Raw genomic sequence first — 18665 nt, 5'->3', positions numbered from 1 at the left:
TACCTAGGCTGGCTGGTTTTAACCTCCTGAGCTCAAATGATCCTCCTGCCTTGGCCTCCCAGAGTGCTGGGATTACAGGTGTGAGCTACTGCACCTGGCTCTGAAGGACTTCTTTTAATTTTTGTGTCTGTGTGTACATGGATGTGTGTGCAAGTCTGCTGGTCATGGGTTTTTTTGTTTGTTTGTTTTTATTTTTGTTTTTTTTTTTTTTTTTGAGATGGAGTCTCACTTTGTCACCAGGCTGGAGGGCAGTGGTGCAATCTTGACTCACTGCAATCTCCGCCTCCCGGGTTCAAGTGATTCTCCTGCCTCAGCCTCCCGAGTAGCTGGGACTACAGGCACCCACCACCACACCTGGCTATTTTTTTGTTTGTTTTGTTTTTGTATTTTTGGTAGAGACGGGGTTTCACCGTGTTGGCCAGGATGATCTCAATCTCTTGACCTCATGATCCACCCGCCTCGGCCTCCCAAAGTGCTGGGATTGCAGGTGTGAGTCACCGTGCCTGGCCAGTCATGGGTTCTAATAACACTTTTTGTCTGAAGACATCTTTATCTCACCATTGTTGTTGAAAGATTATTTTTTGCTGACTAGAATTCTACATTGAAAGTTTTTTTTTCTTTCATTTCTCTAAGTGTATTACTCTACTGTCTTCTTTCTTGCATTTTGTTTTCTTTGTTGGTTTTTTTTTTTTTTTTTTTTTTTTTTGAGACAGAGTCTCAGTGTGTCATCCAGGCTGGAGTGCAGTGGCGCAATCTCAACTCACTGTAACCTCCACTTCCCGGATTCAAGTGATTGTCCTGCCTCAGCCTCCCATGTAGCTTGGATTACAGGCAACCGCCACCACGCCTGGCTAATTTTATATTTTTAGTAGAGATGGGGTTTTGCCATGTTGGCCAGGCTAGTCTCGAACTCTTGTCTCAAGCAATCCACCCCCTCAGTCTCCCAAAGTGCTGGGATTACAGGCATGAGCCACTGCACCCGGCCCTTGCATTTTGTTTTTAATAAGAAATCTGCTGTCATGCTTCTCTCTTTTTTCCTGCTTGCTTTTAGGATTTTACCACTGTTTTTGAGCACTTGAATTATAATGTACCTTGACATAGCATGTTTCTTGTGATTGGGGTTCATTGAGCTTTTTCAATCTCTGTGTTTATAGTTTTGGAAGATTTTCTGCCGTGAATTAGTCAAATATATATATTTTTCTGACTCCCTACTCTTCTTTGGGAATTCCAATTACATTTATATTAGATTACTTGAAGTTGTTCCAAAACTCATTAATGGGCTTTTAATTTTTTTTTTTTTTTGAAATGGAGTCTTGCTCTGTTGCCCAGGCAGGAGTGCATTGATGCAGTCTCAGCTCACTGCAACCTCTGCCTCCGGGGTTCAAGTGATTCTCCTTTGTTTCTATATTTGTTTTGTTAACATATTTTGGAGCTTTTTTTATGCGACTCAGTTAAATTCTTTGAAAAAAACTTGGTCCTTTCAGATCCTGCTGCTTTGATTTGTTAGGAGGGTTCGAATCAGTGCTCAGTCATTCGATACTCCTGAGGCAAGACCTTGCTGAGTATTCTACTCAATGCCCTGAGAAGTGTTTTTTCACATTTGGCTATATAACTGACACTTCCGGGTTTTGTGTGAGCACCAAGTGCTATTCTTTAATCTCTTCAGATAGGTAGGGGTAGTTCAGATAGCCTTGGATGCTTTCCTCACATTCATGTCCTGCCCTGTACTTCACTGAACACTTGTTCAGTCCCTTTGCAGATCTGCAGGGTTTTCTCTTTACGTGACTTTTTCCCATCTGGTATTCTATTCTGCGAACTGCAGCCATCTTGCTCTTTCTTGACTGTCAGCTCTGTCTCATGAACTTAGGGAGTCTACCAGGCTCAGCCTATGTTCCCCCTTCTTGGACCACAGCCTGAAAACTCTCTTAAGGCATGAAGCTTGGTCAGTTTTAGGGATCACTTTGTTTTCTGCCTCTCTCAGAGATAATTATCCTTTGTTGCTTGATATCCAGTATTCTGAAAATGATTATTTATTATTTTGTCTGGTTTTGGTTGTTATTGTTTCAGGTAGGAGGTTAAATCTGTTCCATGTTACTCAGTCTTTAGCAGAAGCAAAAGTCATCTATTGGGTATTGAGCTGTATCTTTTTACAAAAATTTTTTAAGTGGTTATTCTAGGAAGTATAACATATATCCATAATTTTTCAGTCTTCTTGAGTTAATACTGTACTACTTCACTTAAAAGGTAGAATCTTCATAATCATATACCCTCACCCTATTCCTGATGCCACAGTTGTTGTATGTATTATATTAACAAAAGTAATAAGCCTCAGCACACAATTTTAATATTTGTGCTTAAAATGGTTATATATATTTGAAAGACATTAAGAGGAAAATATTGACCTTAACATTTATCCACATATTTACCATTTGTAATGCCCTTTCCTCTCTGATGATCAGATATCTATTTGATACTGTTTTCTTCAGCCTCTACAACAACCTATAATATTATAGTATAGGTCTGTCTGTGAAAAAATTTTCTTAGTTTTTTTCTTATCTAAAAATGTCTTTATTTTACTTTTATTCTTGAATGATATTTGCTACTGGATATTATAATTCTCGATTGACAATTTTTCTTTCAGAACTTTTTTTTTTTTTTTTTTTGAGATGGAGTTTCACTCTTGTCACCCAGGCTGGAGTGCAATAGCACAGTCTTGGCTCACCGCAACCTGTGCCTCCTGGGTTCAAGCAATTCTCCTGCCTCAGCCTCCTGAGTAGCTGGGATTACAGGCGTGAGTCACCACGCCTGGCTAATTTTGTATTTTAGTAGAGACGGAGTTTCTCCATGTTGGTCAAGCTGGTCTTGAACTCCCAACCTCAGATGATCCACCTGCCTCGCCCTCCCAAACTGCTGGGATTATAGGCGTGAGCCACTGTGTCCAGCCTTTCTTTCAGTACTTTAAAGAAGGTGTTTCCCTCTTCTGGCCTATATTTTTTCCCTAACAATTGGTCAGTAGTCATTCGAATTATTGTTTCTCTGTATGTAAAGTATCATTTTTCCATGGAAATTTTAAGACTTTCCTTTTATCCTTGTCTATGAAGTACTTAGTTATAGTTTTCTTTGTCATTTTCTTGCTTGCTTTTGTTGAGTTTCTTACGTATATAACGTTATGTTTGAGAAATTTTTGGCCATTTCTTAAAATATTTTTTCTTCCCATTCTGTCCCTCGTCTCTTCTGGTACTCCAATTACACGTATATTGAACCTTTTAATATTGTCCCACATGTCCCTGAGGTTGTATTCATTTTTTTTTTCAATTTTTTTTATTCTTCTGTCTTCAGATTGGATAATTTCAGTTGATTTATCATCCTCAATTCACCAAGACTTTCTTCTGTCGTCTATATTCTACTGTCAAGCCTATCACATTGAAATTTTCATTTCAGATATTATGTTTATTAGTTCTGGAATTTCAAACTGGTTCATTATTTTTTTTTGTTTGTTTTACTAAGATTTCCTTTCTTCTCATTCATTATGAGCATATTCATTTATGTCCTAAGCATAGATATAATAGCTTCTTTATTAAAATTCTTGTTTGCTACTTACAAAATCTGCATCATTTTATGGCTAGAATCTGTTGATTATATTTTTTTTCCTTGAGAATGGGTCACTCTTTCCTATTTCTTTATGTGTGAATGGTTTTGTTTTGAATTCTGGATGTCGTGTTTTGTTCTCAAGATTTTATTTTGTTATTTCTAAAATTTCAATTACTTTTTATCAGACAGTAAGTTGGACTCAAACCCCAAACTCTGGCCTATGATAGAGAGGCATCAAAACTCAGTTCAGTTATTTTTGCCTTAGCTGGGCTGCTTTAAGTCAGTCCAACAAATACATTGTGCCATTGTTCAGTCAGAAATTTCAGCTAAGTTTATACACAGAATTCAGGGCTCCTCCTTCCTAACTCTTTTTCTTCTCTCTGATCTCCCTCCTCACATCCTGGCAGCTATGTTTGTCCCAAACTCTTCTCATTCTTCAAGCCAGAAATATCTGTGGCTATTCTATTGGAATTTTACTTGCCCTGCATACTGCAAACTGGGAACTTCCCTCAAGATAAAAGCCATAAAAACCCTAAATTCATCCCATGCTATTTATTTTAAACATTGAATGAAGATTTCGGGGTCAAATATGCTGTAAAGACCCTCATGGCTTAAAAATTCTACAATTGTATGAAAATTTTATAGAATAATATCCATGGAGAATAAAAAATATATACAAAGACATAAAACTAAAGATGTGACATAATTAGATATATGCCTATCCTTAGGAAAACCAAAAATTCTGGATGTATAAATTAAGCCAAGGGAATTTTTATTATACTTGGAAAACAAAAAACAATTTTATAAATCTTCTTCCTTTCTTAAGAGGTACATATTCCTTTGCCTCTATTCCTCTTTGTGGAACCTCTCTTCATGTTCATTCTCCTTCAGGAGAGAGACCATGTTACTTGGTGACATTAATCTAATCTTGTAATACTATTTGTTTGTGAACCTGAAAATGTTCTTTCTTATGCTATAGACTTGGGATTTCTATCTTTGTAATCCAGGCTTCAATCTTAAATTTAAAAGCCAATGAACTTGATATTTGTGTGAAATATTTTATTTCTTTTTCTAAATCTTTAGATAAAACACTTTTCTTCAAAGATTACCTAGGCAGATAAGTAGATGTTATTTTTAAAGTATTTTCATGGCTGGAGAACTTCTAGAAGACAAAAATGCTGGAGGCTATCTGGGCGTTAGTGTGAGAATTTTCTGCTGGAGAATCATTAATTTGTTGTCTTTCTACAATTTAGGCAGTCACTGAGGAGAATATTGCTTCTTTGCAGAAGAGAGTGGTAGAACTAGAGAATGAAAAGGGAGCCTTGCTCCTTAGTTCTATAGAGCTGGAGGAGCTGAAAGCTGAGAATGGTATGTATAAAAGAAAACCATAATTCTCTGTCTTCTTATCCCACAAGTGCCTCTACTTTTATCACTAATTATGTATAACATGTAGAATTCTCTGATTCCGTGATAATAAAGATTTAGATAATAGAGCTGGTAACTATCAAAGATAATACACATTAAACAATTAGAGCATAGTATCAGTGTTTACATAAGTATAACATTTTGCAATATGGACTATACATGCTGCAGGATTTCTTTATAACTCATAATCATTTTGGAATGGTCATCGTATCCTATAGGAAGTATGGCTTGAACAGGACCTTAATAAGATGATTTTTAAAATAGGTAAAATGAAGAAAGAAAGGACATTCTGGTAATAAATTTGTGGGATGAGGTAACAGAGATCAGTATAAAGGTTTAAAGGTAGAAACTATGTTGTGAGTGAGTGGTTTATGCTCGTGCTGTACCCTGCTTAGAATCCTGCTCCTTTCCTTTAGTCTGGATGATTGTTACTCATCTTTCAGGCCTCGACTAGCATATTATCTTTTTCAGGAATTTGGTATTGGTCCCCAAAAGTTGGGTTAAATGATTTTTTTGTGCTTCCATAACATCCTTGTATACTTTTAACATTGTATTAAAATGATCTGTTTATATGTTTGTCTTTTTTACTATATTATAAGCTCTTCAAAGTTTAAATATAAGCTCTTCAAGGGCAGGGGCCATTTTTTTTTCCATCTTTGCTTTACCCAAAACTAGTATACCACCTGGCAAATAATGGCTACTGAATAAAGTTTTGTTGGATTGAACTGAACTTAGCATTTTATCCTATTGGATTGTGTGTGAACAGTTAGTGAGAATGAAGACGTGTCTCCTTCCACTTATCATATGCTTCATGTAGACTTTATGGATTTAGTAGCGTGTCGTTAATGCTTTATTGATCTAATTCATCTTTAACTGACTACTACACTTTATCATCTAGGAGTGAGAATGAATAGCAAGTAAAGGTTGTAAAACTTTTATTAAACTCTAGAGCCAGTATTTCTAACTTAACCATTTTACAGTTTTCCACTTAGATCTAAATGGAAGCTTATGCACTTGTATTAGACGATTCCCACTATTTCTAATAAGTAAAGAACACCACAAATTCAGCTCATTATTTAACCCATTCAGAGCACTTCTTTGAGACCTTATCCATGATGCTTATTTTGCAGTTTTGCAAACAGTCTGTATCCTATCCATGTGGCTTCACATGGTTTGGAGGTATTATATGGGTTCCATTCCTTTGCTCTTTCCTGCAGGGATCACTGACCTTAAGGTTTTCTGTATTGGTTTTTGTGTCTGGCCTCATAGATTACTTTTACCTTGTATGTCATGTTGTTTTCAACTCACCTTTTGCACTGACATTTCTACCACTGTACTCCTTTTTCAAGTAATCTTGTGAAATGTCTGAACATATATACTGTCTTGAATTCCCTTGTCTCATCTATGGTGGCTTTCCTATGTGCCAGGCACTATTCCAGTTGCTGGGTATATAGCTATGAACATATTGGAGGGGAAGACAGACTACAAACCTGTTTATACACATAAGAAAATTTCAGAGAATGATAAGTATTAGGCTTAAAATAAAACAGAGTATTTCAAGTATGCCTTGGAGAAGAGGAACGCAGAATTGGAGTAGTGAGAGTAGGCCTTTCTGAGGACTTTAAACCTGAATGATGAAAAGGGGACAGCCATGCAAAGAGGCTAAGCAGAGAGCATTCCAGGCAGAGAAAAAAGCAGTACAAATGTTCTCAGGTGTGAATGAACTTGATAAGTTTGCAGAAGAGAAAACAGACCAGTGTTTTTAGAGCAGAGTGAACAAAAAGGGGGCAATACAAGAAGAGGAGGTTGGAGAATTAGTAGGGTCAAAGCATGAGGGTTCCTGTAGGTCACATTAAGACATTTGGATACAGTGTAAAAAATATATATATTTTTTTCCTTTGGTGTATCTGTGTTATCTTCTCAGAAAGAATATAAGCTTCTTGAGGATATTGATATTGATGCTCAATATATACACATTGTCACAGAACTTGGGTTAAAACTCTGAAGACTTGGATTCTAATCCCAGCTCCCTGAACTAGCTGCGTAACCTTTCGGGTTGTGTCATTTCTTTGTTTCCTTATATGATCATTGAGGAGATAGGATAGCTCCCTTTTAGTGCTAAAATTTGATATCTTTATGAACATTGAAGAACATTGTAAGTGCTATATTAATGCAAAATATATATTACAAACATAGTAGGATTATGGATAAATTATATGTATTGTCCTAGAAGTTCCAGATTATGCCACAGAAATAGCTGCTTTATGTCCTGCATCCTGGCATCCTTCTCCTTTCAAACCTTCCACTATTTAGTATACTTCATTCAGGTTCATTATCATCACCTAGTACTGTTCTATCTTATATCTCATGTAATCATATCCTCTTGCCACTTCTTTAATAAGGCTTTCACCTCTCCCAAGCTATTTTGTTTATTTTTTAAAAAATTATTTCATACAATTCAAATAGCTTCACATGCAATCCTGTTTTTTCACACACTCCACATATATCTTCTAAAGATATTTATTTTGTGACTTTCAGAAAAACTGTCTTCTCAGATTACTCTCCTAGAGGCTCAGAATAGAACTGGGGAGGCAGACAGAGAAGTCAGTGAGGTAAGTGATGTGTTCTTAATATAACCAGAACATGAGCTAGATTAAGAGAAGGTAGCTTCATATGAAAATACGTCCATAATTTTCTAGTGTTGCCAGAGAAGTACATTACCTATAGAGTAAGATCTATTAAAGAGATTCATAATGGTTATTATATCTCATTTATTGTTACTTGTTTCTGAATATTAAAATTCATTGTTCTAAAGCAACACAAATACAGTAGCTACTAATTTGGGATTTGATAACACATTTTTTTATACTGGGTTATCATCTATCTCAACTTCTTTGTTCATCTCAGAAAAGTTTCTCAGTGAAGAGATTAGATAAGACTGGCATAGTTTTACTAAGATTAAATAAAAAGGGATCTTTGGAGAATGATCCTTTTAATAATCTGAAAATTACTATAAGAAGGGTATGGTTGCTTAGTATCATTCTGTTGATTTAAGAGTATTGTTAGCTGCGTTTTGTTTAGTTAGCTGTGTTTTTCTAATCAGTAAGTCAGTGATAGAATTATACATGCCCTTGAGGAGTAATGTGGCTTCCTAACAAAAGTATCTGCTTACTTTTTAAAAAAAATCAATTAGGAGTTTTATTCTGAAGGAAAAAAAGCTTCTTATGTAAGGAATATCTAGAAAATGAATTCCCAATTTCCTTAGGTCTTATGAATAGGGCTTGACTTCAGTGCAGGATTGGCAGAGTGCCCTTGGAGGTCCAGCTGGGAGATACAAACTGATTTTAAAAGGATTTAGCAGTGTTATGGTACAAAGAAGGTTTTGACCAAAAAGTCTGAAGTTTTAGAAGATGAAATACAAGTTTTTAGTTGGGCTATTTTTTTAATGTTATAAAACATTTGATTACAGCTTTTTTTTTCTTTTTTAAAAATAGATCAGCATTGTTGATATTGCCAACAAGAGGAGCTCTTCTGCTGAGGAAAGTGGACAAGATGTTCTAGAAAACACATTTTCTCAGAAACATAAAGAATTATCAGTTTTATTGTTGGAAATGAAAGAAGCTCAAGAGGAAATTGCATTTCTTAAATTACAGCTCCAGGGAAAAAGGGCTGAGGAAGCAGATCATGAGGTCCTTGACCAGAAAGAAATGAAACAGATGGAGGGTGAGGGAATAGCTCCAATTAAAATGAAAGTATTTCTTGAAGATACAGGGCAAGATTTTCCCTTAATGCCAAATGAAGAGAGCAGTCTTCCAGCAGTTGAAAAAGAACAGGCGAGCACTGAACATCAAAGTAGAACATCTGAGGAAATATCTTTAAATGATGCTGGAGTAGAATTGAAATCAACAAAGCAGGATGGTGATAAATCCCTTTCTGCTGTACCAGATATTGGTCAGTGTCATCAGGATGAGTTGGAAAGGTTAAAAAGTCAAATTTTGGAGCTCGAGCTAAACTTTCATAAAGCACAAGAAATCTATGAGAAAAATTTAGATGAGAAAGCTAAGGAAATTAGCAACCTAAACCAGTTGATTGAGGAGTTTAAGAAAAATGCTGACAACAACAGCAGTGCATTCACTGCTTTGTCTGAAGAAAGAGACCAGCTTCTCTCTCAGGTGAAGGAACTTAGCATGGTAACAGAATTGAGGGCTCAGGTAAAGCAACTGGAAATGAACCTTGCAGAAGCAGAAAGGCAAAGAAGACTTGATTATGAAAGCCAAACTGCCCATGACAACCTGCTCACTGAACAGATCCATAGTCTCAGCATAGAAGCCAAATCTAAAGATGTGAAAATTGAAGTTTTACAGAATGAACTGGATGATGTGCAGCTTCAGTTTTCTGAGCAGAGTACCCTGATAAGAAGCCTGCAAAGCCAGCTGCAAAATAAGGAAAGTGAAGTGCTTGAGGGGGCAGAACGTGTAAGGCATATCTCAAGTAAAGTGGAAGAACTGTCCCAGGCTCTTTCACAGAAGGAACTTGAAATAACAAAAATGGATCAGCTCTTACTAGAGAAAAAGAGAGATGTGGAAACCCTCCAACAAACCATCGAGGAGAAGGATCAACAAGTGACAGAAATCAGCTTTAGTATGACTGAGAAAATGGTTCAGCTTAATGAAGAGAAGTTTTCTCTTGGGGTTGAAATTAAGACTCTTAAAGAACAGCTAAATTTATTATCCAGAGCTGAGGAAGCAAAAAAAGAGCAGGTGGAAGAAGATAATGAAGTTTCTTCTGGCCTTAAACAAAATTATGATGAGATGAGCCCAGCAGGACAAATAAGTAAGGAAGAACTTCAGCATGAATTTGACCTTCTGAAGAAAGAAAATGAGCAGAGAAAGAGAAAGCTCCAGGCAGCTCTTATTAACAGAAAGGAGCTTCTGCAAAGAGTCAGTAGATTGGAAGAAGAATTAGCCAACTTGAAAGATGAATCTAAGAAAGAAATCCCACTCAGTGAGACTGAGAGGGGAGAAGTGGAAGAAGATAAAGAAAACAAAGAATACTCAGAAAAATGTGTGACTTCTAAGTGCCAAGAAATAGAAATTTATTTAAAACAGACAATATCTGAGAAAGAAGTGGAACTACAGCATATAAGGAAGGATTTGGAAGAAAAGCTGGCAGCTGAAGAGCAATTCCAGGCTCTGGTCAAACAGATGAATCAGACCTTGCAAGATAAAACAAACCAAATAGATTTGCTCCAAGCAGAAATCAGTGAAAACCAAGCAATTATCCAGAAGTTAATCACAAGTAACACGGATGCAAGTGATGGGGACTCCGTAGCACTTGTAAAGGAAACAGTGGTGATAAGTCCACCTTGTACAGGTAGTAGTGAACACTGGAAACCAGAACTAGAAGAAAAGATACTGGCCCTTGAAAAAGAAAAGGAGCAACTTCAAAAGAAGCTACAGGAAGCCTTAACCTCCCGCAAGGCAATTCTTAAAAAGGCACAGGAGAAAGAAAGACATCTCAGGGAGGAGCTAAAGCAACAGAAAGATGACTATAATCGCTTGCAAGAACAGTTTGATGAGCAAAGCAAGGAAAATGAGAATATTGGAGACCAGCTAAGGCAACTCCAGATTCAAGTAAGGGAATCCATAGACGGAAAACTCCCAAGCACAGACCAGCAGGAATCGTGTTCTTCCACTCCAGGTTTAGAAGAACCTTTATTCAAAGCCACAGAACAGCATCACACTCAACCTGTTTTAGAGTCCAACTTGTGCCCAGACTGGCCTTCTCATTCTGAAGATGCGAGTGCTCTGCAGGGCGGAACTTCTGTTGCCCAGATTAAGGCCCAGCTGAAGGAAATAGAGGCTGAGAAAGTAGAGTTAGAATTGAAAGTTAGTTCTACAACAAGTGAGCTTACTAAAAAATCAGAAGAGGTATTTCAGTTACAAGAGCAGATAAATAAACAGGGTTTAGAAATCGAGAGTCTAAAGACAGTATCCCATGAAGCTGAAGTCCATGCCGAAAGCCTGCAGCAGAAATTGGAAAGCAGCCAACTACAAATTGCTGGCCTAGAACATCTAAGAGAATTGCAACCTAAACTGGATGAACTGCAAAAACTCATAAGCAAAAAGGAAGAAGACGTTAGCTACCTTTCTGGACAACTTAGTGAGAAAGAAGCAGCTCTCACTAAAATACAGACAGAGATAATAGAACAAGAAGATTTAATTAAGGCTCTGCATACACAGCTAGAAATGCAAGCCAAAGAGCATGATGAGAGGATAAAGCAGCTACAGGTGGAACTTTGTGAAATGAAGCAAAAACCAGAAGAGATTGGAGAAGAAAGTAGAGCAAAGCAACAAATACAAAGGAAACTGCAAGCTGCCCTTATTTCCCGAAAAGAAGCACTAAAAGAAAACAAAAGTCTCCAAGAGGAATTGTCTTTGGCCAGAGGTACCATTGAACGTCTCACCAAGTCTCTGGCAGATGTGGAAAGCCAAGTTTCTGCTCAAAATAAAGAAAAAGATACGGTCTTAGGAAGGTTAGCTCTTCTTCAAGAAGAAAGAGACAAACTCATTACAGAAATGGACAGGTCTTTATTGGAAAATCAGAGTCTCAGCAGCTCCTGTGAAAGTCTAAAACTAGCTCTAGAGGGTCTTACTGAAGACAAGGAAAAGTTAGTGAAGGAAATTGAATCTTTGAAATCTTCTAAGATTGCAGAAAGTACTGAGTGGCAAGAGAAACACAAGGAGCTACAAAAAGAGTATGAAATTCTTCTGCAGTCCTATGAGAATGTTAGTAATGAAGCAGAAAGGATTCAGCATGTGGTGGAAGCTGTGAGGCAAGAGAAACAAGAACTGTATGGCAAGTTAAGAAGCACAGAGGCAAACAAGAAGGAGACAGAAAAGCAGTTGCAGGAAGCTGAGCAAGAAATGGAGGAAATGAAAGAAAAGATGAGAAAGTTTGCTAAATCTAAACAGCAGAAAATCCTAGAGCTGGAAGAAGAGAATGACCGGCTTAGGGCAGAGGTGCACCCTGCAGGAGATACAGCTAAAGAGTGTATGGAAACACTTCTTTCTTCCAATGCCAGCATGAAGGAAGAACTTGAAAGGGTCAAAATGGAGTATGAAACCCTTTCTAAGAAGTTTCAGTCTTTAATGTCTGAGAAAGACTCTCTAAGTGAAGAGGTTCAAGATTTAAAGCATCAGATAGAAGGTAATGTATCTAAACAAGCTAACCTAGAGGCCACCGAGAAACATGATAACCAAACGAATGTCACTGAAGAGGGAACACAGTCTATACCAGGTGAGACTGAAGAGCAAGACTCTCTGAGTATGAGCACAAGACCTACATGTTCAGAATCGGTTCCATCAGCGAAGAGTGCCAACCCTGCTGTAAGTAAGGATTTCAGCTCACATGATGAAATTAATAACTACCTACAGCAGATTGATCAGCTCAAAGAAAGAATTGCTGGATTAGAGGAGGAGAAGCAGAAAAACAAGGAATTTAGCCAGACTTTAGAAAATGAGAAAAATACCTTACTGAGTCAGATATCAACAAAGGATGGTGAACTAAAAATGCTTCAGGAGGAAGTAACCAAAATGAACCTGTTAAATCAGCAAATCCAAGAAGAACTCTCCAGAGTTACCAAACTAAAGGAGACAGCAGAAGAAGAGAAAGATGATTTGGAAGAGAGGCTTATGAATCAATTAGCAGAACTTAATGGAAGCATTGGGAATTACTGTCAGGATGTTACAGATGCCCAAATAAAAAATGAGCTATTGGAATCTGAAATGAAGAACCTTAAAAAGTGTGTGAGTGAATTGGAAGAAGAAAAGCAGCAGTTAGTCAAGGAAAAAACTAAGGTGGAATCAGAAATACGAAAGGAATATTTGGAGAAAATACAAGGTGCTCAGAAAGAACCCGGAAATAAAAGCCATGCAAAGGAACTTCAGGAACTGTTAAAAGAAAAACAACAAGAAGTAAAGCAGCTACAGAAGGACTGCATCAGGTATCAAGAGAAAATTAGTGCTCTGGAGAGAACTGTTAAAGCTCTAGAATTTGTTCAAACTGAATCTCAAAAAGATTTGGAAATAACCAAAGAAAATCTGGCTCAAGCAGTTGAACACCGCAAAAAGGCACAAGCAGAATTAGCTAGCTTCAAAGTCCTGCTAGATGACACTCAAAGTGAAGCAGCAAGGGTCCTAGCAGACAATCTCAAGTTGAAAAAGGAACTTCAGTCAAATAAAGAATCAGTTAAAAGCCAGATGAAACAAAAGGATGAAGATCTTGAGCGAAGACTGGAACAGGCAGAAGAGAAGCACCTGAAAGAGAAGAAGAATATGCAAGAGAAACTGGATGCTTTGCGCAGAGAAAAAGTCCACTTGGAAGAGACAATTGGAGAGATTCAGGTTACTTTGAACAAGAAAGACAAGGAAGTTCAGCAACTTCAGGAAAACTTGGACAGTACTGTGACCCAGCTTGCAGCCTTTACTAAGAGCATGTCTTCCCTCCAGGATGATCGTGACAGGGTGATAGATGAAGCTAAGAAATGGGAGAGGAAGTTTAGTGATGCGATTCAAAGCAAAGAAGAAGAAATTAGACTCAAAGAAGATAATTGCAGTGTTCTAAAGGATCAACTTAGACAGATGTCCATCCATATGGAAGAATTAAAGATTAACATTTCCAGGTAAATGAGTAGTGAATTTTTCCTCCTCCAGAGGTAACTTCAAGCAAAGAAAGTCTCTAAACTATTTCTGTTTCCTTTTAGACAATGGGACTAATTTTGGCATAAATGTCCATGGAAGATATATTCTCTCTCACTTCTGACTTTTTTTTGGCAAACAACAATCCTGCTACAACTGCATGAACATGAAAAGTTCGCATCTTCTCTTCCCATCTTTCTATTGAGAGATTTCTGTACTTCTGTTTTGTTTTGTTTAAGATGGAGTCTTGCTCTTGTCACCCAGGCTGGAATGCAATGGCACGATTTTGGCTCACTGCAACCTCTGCCTCCTGGGTTCAAGCAATTCTCCTGCCTCAGCCTCCCGAGTAGCTGGGATTACAGGAGCCTACCAACACGCCCAGCTAATTTTTTGTATTTTTAGTAGAGAGGGGGTTTCACCATGTTGGCCAGGCTGGTCTCGAACTCCTGACCTCAGGTGATCCACCCACCTCGGCCTCCCAAAGTGCTGGGATTACAGGCATGAGCCATTGCACCTGGCCTCTGTATTTCTTTTCATTTCCATTTCAACTACTCTTGCCTGGATTTTTACCACAGTACTCTCAAATTAATTGTCTAGTCTCGTCTTTTCTTCTTCCTTTAGTCCACATTAATTCATACTGCATATACCTCTTAGAGTTATTTTTTCTCAAATTTCAATTTTCTGTCACTTTTTAATCTATAGAACTAATAATGTCTCTCATCCTTTGTATTCCTTACTTCCAATAGGACCCTTCTGTTCTAAAACAGATTTTCTCACTGTCTTTCATATCAAGATTATCCCTTAGAGAAGCCAAACGTTAGCTTGTCTGGAGCAAAGTAGAATAAAATAGGAGAAAATGTTACTTTTCAGTGTTGAAAACCATGTCACTAAAATAAGTGACATATTTTGGAGTTTATGACTTAAATATATGAACCCTTAAGTATGATATACCTTTAATACATAGCACTCAGTAGATAAACATGTAGGTGCAGAGAATTAATACCTCTTCAGTAAAATATTTAACACCTGTTATGAATGTTAATTCATTTGTAAATCTATTGAGTACATGTTATAGTATTTGTTCCTTGGGAAACACAGTTTTTTTCTTGAAATCTGTAACTAATGACCTTCTCTCTGTTTCAGGCTTGAACATGACAAGCAGATTTGGGAGTCCAAGGCCCAGACAGAGGTCCAGCTTCAGCAGAAGGTCTGTGATACTCTACAGGGGGAAAACAAAGAACTTTTGTCCCAGCTAGAAGAGACACGCCACCTATACCACAGTTCTCAGAATGAATTAGCTAAGTTGGAATCAGAACTTAAGAGTCTCAAAGACCAGTTGACTGATTTAAGTAACTCTTTAGAAAAATGTAAGGAACAAAAAGGAAACTTGGAAGGGATCATAAGGCAGCAAGAGGCTGATATTCAAAATTCTAAGTTCAGTTATGAACAACTGGAGACTGATCTTCAGGCCTCCAGAGAACTGACCAGTAGGCTGCATGAAGAAATAAATATGAAAGAGCAAAAGATTATAAGCCTGCTTTCTGGCAAGGAAGAGGCAATCCAAGTAGCTATTGCTGAACTGCGTCAGCAACATGATAAAGAAATTAAAGAGCTGGAAAACCTGCTGTCCCAGGAGGAAGAGGAGAATATTGTTTTAGAAGAGGAGAACAAAAAGGCTGTTGATAAAACCAATCAGCTTATGGAAACACTGAAAACCATCAAAAAGGAAAACATTCAGCAAAAGGCACAGTTGGATTCCTTTGTTAAATCCATGTCTTCTCTCCAAAATGATCGAGACCGCATAGTGGGTGACTATCAACAGCTGGAAGAGCGACATCTCTCTATAATCTTGGAAAAAGACCAACTCATCCAAGAGGCTGCTGCAGAGAATAATAAGCTTAAAGAAGAAATACGAGGCTTGAGAAGTCATATGGATGATCTCAATTCTGAGAATGCCAAGCTAGATGCAGAACTGATCCAATATAGAGAAGACCTGAACCAAGTGATAACAATAAAGGACAGCCAACAAAAGCAGCTTCTTGAAGTTCAACTTCAGCAAAATAAGGAGCTGGAAAATAAATATGCTAAATTAGAAGAAAAGCTGAAGGAATCTGAGGAAGCAAATGAGGATCTGCGGAGGTCCTTTAATGCCCTACAAGAAGAGAAACAAGATTTATCTAAAGAGATTGAGAGTTTGAAAGTATCTATATCCCAGCTAACAAGACAAGTAACAGCCTTGCAAGAAGAAGGTACTTTAGGACTCTATCATGCCCAGTTAAAAGTAAAAGAAGAAGAGGTACACAGGTTAAGTGCTTTGTTTTCCTCCTCTCAAAAGAGAATTGCAGAACTGGAAGAAGAATTGGTTTGTGTTCAAAAGGAAGCTGCCAAGAAGGTAGGTGAAATTGAAGATAAACTGAAGAAAGAATTAAAGCATCTTCATCATGATGCAGGGATAATGAGAAATGAAACTGAAACAGCAGAAGAGAGAGTGGCAGAGCTAGCAAGAGATTTGGTGGAGATGGAACAGAAATTACTCATGGTCACCAAAGAAAATAAAGGTCTCACAGCACAAATTCAGTCTTTTGGAAGGTCTATGAGTTCCTTGCAAAATAGTAGAGATCATGCCAATGAGGAACTTGATGAACTGAAAAGGAAATATGATGCCAGTCTGAAGGAATTGGCACAGTTGAAAGAACAGGGACTCTTAAACAGAGAGAGAGATGCTCTTCTTTCTGAAACCGCCTTTTCAATGAACTCCACTGAGGAGAATAGCTTGTCTCACCTTGAGAAACTTAACCAACAGCTCCTATCCAAAGATGAGCAATTGCTTCACTTGTCCTCACAACTAGAAGATTCTTATAACCAAGTGCAGTCCTTTTCCAAGGCTATGGCCAGTCTGCAGAATGAGAGAGATCACCTGTGGAATGAGCTGGAGAAATTTCGAAAGTCAGAGGAAGGGAAGCAGAGGTCTGCAGCTCAGCCTTCCACCAGCCCAGCTGAAGTACAGAGTTTAAAAAAAGCTATGTCTTCACTCCAAAATGACAGAGACAGACTAGTGAGTAGCTAGTTCTTTCTTTCTGATCTGTTTAAGAGTTTTTGAACCTTTCTTTAAATTTATTTTTATAGAAAAGGATAAACACATTCTTATACATATTATCTGGGAACGCAGGGAAAGTATTATGTATCCCACAGGTTCTGTTTGGTCTTAGAGAAGCACAGAAACATGATTTAAATTGCTAAACCTGCCAATACCATTAGAAAAAAAATCAGAAATTTCCTTGGCACAAAACTCTCCATTGGTTATAAAAGGACTAAGAGGTGGAGAACTGTTTTATATATTTTATATACACAAAGACATGTGTAAATGTTTCCAGAATTTGTCATAGCTTAACTGAAAGAAAGTAAAAGGATCACTTAGTGCCTTCTTACAGTGAAGTATAAGGATCATTTAGTGTCTTGTTTACAATTTAGCAATAGATTATCTGGTAGAATTTGGAGCAGAAAGGACTCAGTTCATCTCATGGGTAACTCAACCCTAATTTGTCAAAAATAAAAAAAAGTGACGTAAAAAGAGTTCCTTTAAATAAGTTGAAATGACTTTTTAGTAAAGTTTTATTTGCAGGCTGAACCATTTACCCACTTCCTTTTAATACCCAACATTTCCAATGGGAGAAAAAGCTAAAGAGGCTTCCTAATGCTGACATTTGACAGCTTTTAGTAGGAGTCAGGAGTTTAATCCAGGTCTCCCAAGATTCAGGGGCAAAACTGGAACTGTATGAGCCAAGCCAGGTTGTCAGGATTCTACTGCTCCTAGGCTCAAGCAGTCCTCCTGCCTCAGCCGCCCAAGTAGCTGGGATTACAGGCATGAGCCACCACTCTTGGCTTGTTAGGGGATTCTACTTGGCAACATTACTGTCTTCACTTTCATGATAGTCTGTTAACTCTATCAAGGCTTTGTATTTGTAGGAAAATAGGCCAAATAGGAAATAAATGGAGTTTTGAAAGGCTAGGCTTTCCATTTTGAAATGTGACCCATACCCAGAATCTGAAAATTCTAATTTTTTTTTTTTTTTTTTAATTGATCATTCTTGGGTGTTTCTCACAGAGGGGGATTTGGCAGGGTCATAGGACAATAGTGGAGGGAAGGTCAGCAGATAAACAAGTGAACAAAGGTCTCTGGTTTTCCTAGGCAGAGGACCCTGCGGCCTTCCGCAGTGTTTGTGTCCCTGGGTACTTGAGATTAGGGAGTGGTGATGACTCTTAACGAGCATGCTGCCTTCAAGCATCTGTTTAACAAAGCACATCTTGCACCGCCCTTAATCCATTTAACCCTGAGTGGACACAGCACATGTTTCAGAGAGCACAGGGTTGGGGGTAAGGTCACAGATCAACAGGATCCCAAGGCCGAAGATTTTTTCTTAGTACAGAACAAAATGAAAAGTTTCCCATGTCTACTTCTTTCTACACAGACATGGCAACCATCCGATTTCTCAATCTTTTCCCCACCTTTCCCCCCTTTCTATTCCACAAAACCGCCATTGTCATCATGGCCCGTTCTCAATGAGCTGCTGGGTACACCTCCCAGACGGGGTGGCGGCCGGGCAGAGGTGCCCCTCACCTCCCGGACGGGGCGGCTGGCCGGGCGGGGGGCTGACCCCCCCACCTCCCTCCCGGACGGGGCGGCTGGCTGGGCGGGGGGCTGACCCCCCCACCTCCCTCCCGGAGGGGGTGGCTGCCGGGCGGAGACGCTCCTCACTTCCCAGACGGGGTGGTTGCCAGGCCAAGGGGCTCCTCACTTCTCAGATGGGGCAGTTGCCAGGCGGAGGGTCTCCTCACTTCTCAGACGGGGCGGCTGGGCAGAGATGCTCCTCACCTCCCAGACGGGGTCGCGGCCGGGCAGAGGCGCTCCTCACATCCCAGACGGGGCGGCGGAGCAGAGGCGCTCTCCAC

At 38.6% G+C, this 18665-nt stretch overlaps 1 protein-coding gene across 28 annotated transcripts in view; it reads left to right on the top strand.

Annotated features, from left to right (window-relative positions):
- GOLGB1 (golgin B1) overlaps nucleotides 1-18665 on the top strand; it is an 86766-nt gene that overhangs the window by 42527 nt on the left and 25574 nt on the right. For all 28 annotated transcript variants that reach the window (XM_047447994.1, XM_047447992.1, XM_047447989.1 and 25 more), the window contains 4 exons: nucleotides 4845-4959; nucleotides 7555-7628; nucleotides 8511-13699; nucleotides 14859-16770. In XM_047447994.1, the coding sequence (XP_047303950.1) occupies nucleotides 4845-4959; nucleotides 7555-7628; nucleotides 8511-13699; nucleotides 14859-16770 (7290 nt within the window). The remainder of the gene's footprint in view (nucleotides 1-4844; nucleotides 4960-7554; nucleotides 7629-8510; nucleotides 13700-14858; nucleotides 16771-18665) is intronic.

Source organism: Homo sapiens, chromosome 3 (assembly GCF_000001405.40).
Source record: "Homo sapiens chromosome 3, GRCh38.p14 Primary Assembly".
Taxonomy (NCBI): Eukaryota; Metazoa; Chordata; class Mammalia; order Primates; family Hominidae; genus Homo; species Homo sapiens.
This window is presented reverse-complemented; position numbering and strand designations above follow the sequence as displayed.